Below are 6,302 nucleotides of genomic sequence, written 5' to 3'. Positions count from 1 at the left end.
GTCACATCATGCTGGATGGTGCCAGCCCTGGAACCAGGCTTCCTGATCAGAGCCCAGCTCTGCTGTAGGTCACCAGCTGTGTGACCTTGTGGAAGTTATTGAAACTCTGTGCCTCAGTTTCCTCACCTATAAAATGGACCTAATACTAGTTTCACTTGGGGATGTTGGGAAGATGAAGTTAGAATCATCCATGTGGCTGGCACATAGTAAGAGCCCAGTGTCAGCTGTGAGTTTTAATCTTGTGCTAACCCATCAGAGACTGTGCCCCTGGCATTTCTTTTCTCCAGGCATTCTCAGCACCTCCAACTGTTTTTACCTAGCTGTACCTTCCTGTCTAACCTTGTACCTTCAGGGTCACCCCAGGTAAGACATGTGCTTCTTCATCAATGTGCCCTTTCTGGTGTGAGTCCTGAACTGGCCCAGGATTCAGATTCTGCATGAGAGGTGAGGTGTGCAGACACGATGCTCTGGGGGTGCCTGAGAATTGCCACCAGGAGGTTATTCATGAGGTCTCCAGACAGAAGGGCCCTGAGGAAGGGCAGGGAGAACATTCCAGAAGGAGCAGCCCCTTGGCACATCTAAGCAGGGCTAGATGGGGCACGTGGGAAGGTGAGGAGCTGATGTTGCCAAGGGAAGCAGAAGCTTTTAATGGCGGCTGTGTTTGGCTGCAACATGGCCCCCAAGGTTATCCCCGTCCAAATCTGCATAACCTATGGCTGTTACCTTATATGCCAAAAGGGACTTTGCAGCTGAGACCAAGCTAAACGTTTTTGGGTGTAAAGCTTATTCTAGGTTATCGGATGACCCCTGAATGTAATCACAGGTGTCCCTATAAGAGGGAGGTTTGATGCAGAAGAAAAACTGGAGCAAGATGTGACGCTGCTGCCTTTGAAGATGGAGGAAGGAGTTGCCACCTGAGGAATGCGAGGAATGTGAAGAAAGCAGTTCCCGGAGCTGGAAATGGATTCTCCCAGGGCCTCAGGAGTGCAGCCCTGCCAACACCTTGCCTTAAGCCCCATGAAACTCATTTCAGGTCTCTGCCCTCCAGAACTGCAAAAGTTGCTCTCATTTTAAGCCACTGAATGTGTGCTAATGAATTTGTTACAGCAGCCACAGGACACTGATACACAAGGTTAAGTGATATAGTTTGGCTGTGTCCCCACCCAAATCTCATCTTGAATTCCCATGTGTTCCAGGAGGGACCTGGTGAGAGGTAATTGAATCGTGGGGGCGGGATTTTCCCATGCTGTTCTCATGATCATGAGTCTCACAAGATCTCATAGTTCTATAAAGAGACATTCCCCTGCACAAGCTCTCTCTCTCTTTGCCCGCTGCCATCCACGTAAGATGTGACTTGCTCCTCCTTGCCTTCTGCCATGATTGTGAGGCCTCCACAGCCATGTGGAACTGTAAGTCCAATAAACCTCTTCCTTCTGTAAATTGCCCTGTCTTGGGTATGTCTTTATCAGCAGCATGAAAATTGACTAATAAACTAGGGAATTTTTAACTTTCTCCCAAGCATACATAACCTAGTGAAGAGTTTTGAGCAGGGATGTTTAAAAATACAGTGTATTCATAGGACATCTGAAGTCCCTGAAGGCCCACAGATCACAAGACGCCTGCCAATAAAAAGATTGTTTGTCACTCACAGTTTCCAAGAGGAGGCGGCAGGCCATGCCTGGGGCCACACAGGAAGATGGGCACAGTCACGAGGAGGAGGCAAAGGGGAGAGCAGTGAGTGGGCACTTTGACTGTGGTTGCTGTGGGACAGAACCAGCAAGAAAGGTAGGCAGGCTTAGGATTGGCCAGTTTGAATAATTAAAGCTGCTCCAGGGCACAAGGCTGTCCCTACTAATCTGGTACCTGCCCTGAGCTGATGAGGACAGGTAGATGTGGCTGGAGCAGTAGAGCCTAGAAAAACAGGTGGCTGCAGCGTGGACTCTGGGTTGGTTGGTTTGTATTTGAAAAGTGCCTCTACCCAGAAGAGGACTCCTCTGAGGAGTGGGGGAGGTGACGAGGGAGGCAGGAGGTCAGGCACGGTGACTTAAGCACATTATCAGGTTGTTCAGAACAAGGCCTTTCTGGCCCATGCATGGAGGATGGATGTCAACGAAGTGTCAAGTTCACAGAGGCTAGAAACACAGGTGACGCCGGGTGTAATGCATTCAGGCTTGTCTCAGCAAAATCACCATTGTAGCAGGGTGCAGAGACCCCCTCTGGCGGCTGAGCAGGCACAGAGGGCTGTGTATTCAGTAGGTGCATATATCAACCCTCCTGCACCCTCTGTCCCCTCCCAGCCCCTCCAGAGCTGCCTTTCCCCTCCCTGCCCCAGTCTGTGCTCTGCCCACACTGCTGTCTCGTGGGTGCCCCCCAGCGCCCAGCAGCCCTTTCCTTCCGCATGAGCTCCTGCCCATCCCTTGGGGCCAGTGTGGATGCTACTCTCCCCTGGAGAAATCAGCCCCGACAGCACCCGCTGTGCATACACGGCGCTCCCCGTGCATTCACCACGTGCTCCCTGCCATGCTGGGCACTTCTCACCGATCACTGGGTTGGCTCTGATGCAACTGCCAACATCCAGTCATTTTTGACCTACAAAAAGTGGCGATTTAATACGGTTCGACCTAAATCCTTCAGTTAATCCTCAGAATAATTGTGTAAGTTAGGGACGCTTTACCAGTGAGGAAACTGAGACTGAGATGATTTGGAAATTCAGTCACAAAGCTCACATTCATTTTCTGTGGCTGCCATGACACATACCACAGCTTGCATGGGTTAAAACAACACAGATGTATTTTCCCACAGTTCTGAAGGCCAGAAGTCTGAAATCACAGTGGCAACAGGGCTGCTGCCTCCGACTGCTCTAGGAGAGAATCCATGCTGGCCTCTTCCAGGCCTTCTCTTTGGTCTCAAATCTCCCTCCGCCTTTCTCTTGCAGGGACCCTGTCACTGTATTTGGGATCCACCTGTATGATCCAGGCTGATCTCTGGAGATCCTTCACTGAATTGTATCTGCAAAACCCTATTGCCAAATAAGGTAGCTAATATGGTTAAGCTCTGTGTCCCCACCCAAATCTCATCTTGAATTGTAATAATCCCCATGTATCAAGGGTGGGACCAGGTGGGGATCATTGAATCATGGGGGCAGTTTCCCCCATGCTGTTCTCGTGATAGCAAGTGAGTTCTCATGAGATCTGATGGTTGTTTTCTGTTTGTTTGTTTGTTTGTTTGTTTGAGACAGAGTCTCACGCTGTTACCCAGGCTGGAGTGCAGTAGCGCAATCTCGGCTCACTGCAACCTCCGCCTCCCAGGTTCAAGCAATTCTCCTGCCTCAGCCTCCCAAGTAGCTGGGATTACAGGCATGGGCCAACACACCTGGCTAATTTTTATAGTTTTAGTAGAGACGGGGTTTCGCCATATTGACCAGGCCGGTCTCAAACTCCTGACCTCAGGTGATCTGCCCGCCTCGGCCTCCCAAAGTGCTGGGATTACAGGTACGAGCCACAGCACCTGGCCTAAGATCTGATGGTTTTTTAAAGGGCTTCCCCCTTTGCTAGGCTCTTACTCTTCTTCCTGCCACCATGTGAAGAAGGATGTGTTTGTTTCCCCTTCTACCATGATTGTAAGTTTCCTGAGGCCTCCCCCGCCATGTGGAACTGTGAGTCCATTAAACCTCTTTCCTTTATAAATTACCCAGTCTCAGGCGGTCCTTCACAGCAGCGTGAGAACAGACTAACACAGTGGCACTCGCAGGTTCTGGGGACTCGAGCACGGACACATCTGTTTAGGGGCCACCATTCAACCCACTACAGCTCATAAGTGGTGTCATCAGCTGAGCCCAGGGTGTCTACAGCCACAAGGCTGGTGTGCGGTTAGGGCTTGCTTTTGTACCACTTCCCCACCTGACACTGTGTCTGTGTAACACCTGCCCAGCCCCCACATATGGGCTTGGCTTTGGTCACGTCCAAGCTCCAGATCCTAAATCATCTGGAAGCCTCTTTCTTACCCTCCTGAGTGTTTCCCCACATGTTCAACACACACTCAGGAGGGTTTTCTTACGTCTTTAATTTCTCAGCACAAAACAAGTCTAAAAATAAGCACTCACTGCTTCTTGTCAAATAAATTCTGAAAACCATGTGTAGGAAGGGCCTGTGTTGACAAGGGTATGAATATCCTGGTGGCTGATGTCAAATGGGGCAGTTCCATGTGCTGAGTTCTGTGCAGGACAAAAAGCTGACACTGGCCGAATCTTGCCGTGGGCAGCTTACCCGTGAGCCACTGTGCACAGCCCACACAGAATTAGCTGTGAACCCTGAAAATCTGAGGCAGGTCTCAGTTAATTTAGAAAGTTTATTTTGCCAAGGTTGAGGACACACGCCTGTGACGCAGCCTCAGGAGGTCCTGACGACATGTACCCAGGGTGGTCAGAGCACAGTTTGGTTTTATACATTTTAGGGAGATATGAGCCATCAATGAACATATGTAAGATTAACATTGGTTTGGTCCGGAAAGGTGGGACAACTGGAAGCAAAAACGGGACAACTCAAAGTGGGGAGGGGGTTTCCAGGTCCTAGGTAGATAAGAGACAAACAGTTGCATTCTTTTTTTGTTTGTTTTTTCTTTGAGATGGAGTTTTGCTCTTATTGCCCAGGCTGGAGTGCAATGGCGCAATCTCGGCTCACCACAACCTCAGCCTCCCAGGTTCAACTGATTCTCCTGCCTCAGCCTCCCGAGTAGCTGGGATTACAGGCATGCACCACTATGCCCATCTAATACTGTAGTTATAGTAGAGACAGGGTTTCTCCATATTGGTCAGGCTGGTCTTGAACTCCTGACCTCAGGTGATCCGCCCGCCTCAGGCTCCTAAAGCGCTGGGATTACAGGCATGAGCCACTGCACCTGGCCTGGTTGCATTGTTGTGAGTGTCTAATTAGCCCCTCCAAAGGAGGCAGTCAGATATGCATTTATCTCAGTGAGCAGAGGGGTGACTTGGAATAGGATGGGAGGCACGTTTGCCCTAAGCAGTTCCCAGCCTGACCTTTCCCTTTAGCTTAGTGATTTTGGGGCCCCAAGATTTCTTTTCCTTTCACATAGCAGCTGTCTAGAGTGAGAGAGCTGAGTGGGGAAACCATTTCGAGGACAGAAACCAAGACGTTGTTTCCTCCTGACCTCACTGGATCCCCCTCAGTGCTCTTTCGCAAAAGTATTATTATTCCCACTTTAAGGAAGAAGGCAGTGGTTCAGAGAGAGTGTAACTGCAATAGGCTCGTTGCCCGGTGTGCGTGGCAAACCAGCATGCCAGGACATGGGGTGGCAGCAGAGGAAGAGGTTCCATTGTAGGGCCACCAAACGAGGAGATGGAAGGACAAATTCATCTCCCCAGGGAGTTTGGGGCTGGGGTTTTTCAGGGTTTTGGAGTGCACCGACGTGTGGAGATGGTTGATTGCTCGAAGAGTGGGGGGTAAAGCCGTGGAAGCTGGACCAGGGAGAGGAACCGGCTGCATTCTCCTGCCCACCCCCCAATTCTTCCCCATTCCTCTGGAGGGGGCTTCAAACTGTTTGCTGGAATTCAAGGTGTGAAAAGCATCTTAAGTGTTTCTTAAACAAAAGCCTAATGATTATTAGAAAGCCAGAGATAGTTTAGCATATTAGTCTATTCTCATGCTGCTAATGAAGACACACCCAAGACTGGGTAATTTATGAATAAAAAGAGGTTTAGGCCGGGCACAGTGGCTCACGCCCATAATCCCAGCACTTTGGGAGGCTGAGGCGGGTGGATCACCTGAGGTTAGGAGTTTGAGACCATCCTGGCCAACAGGGTGAAACCCCTTCTCTACTAAAAATACAAAAAATTACCAGGGCATGGTGGCCAGCGCCTGTACTCCCAGCTACTTAGGAGGCTGAGGCAGGATAATAGCTTGAATCCGGGAGGCAGAGATTGCAGTGAGCAGAGATTGCACCATTGCACTCCAGCCTGGGAAACAAGAGCAAAACTCTGTCTCAAAATAAAAATAAAAATAAAAATAGGGCCGGGCACAGTGGCTCGTGCCTGTAATCCCAATACTTTGGGAGGCTGAGGTGGGTCAGGAGTTCAAGACCAGCCTGGCCAACATAGTGAAACCCCATCTCTACTAAAATACAAAAAGTTAGCTGGGCATGGTGGAGCGCGCCTGTAATCCCAGCTACTCTGGAGGCTGAAGCAGGAGAATCCCTTGAACCCGGGAGGCGAAGGTTGCAGTGAGCTGAGATTGTACCATTGCACTCTAGCCTGGCAACGAGAGCGAAACTCTGTCTCAAAAAAATAA

Source organism: Homo sapiens, chromosome 4, assembly GCF_000001405.40.
Source record: "Homo sapiens chromosome 4, GRCh38.p14 Primary Assembly".
Taxonomy (NCBI): Eukaryota; Metazoa; Chordata; class Mammalia; order Primates; family Hominidae; genus Homo; species Homo sapiens.
This window is presented reverse-complemented; position numbering follows the sequence as displayed.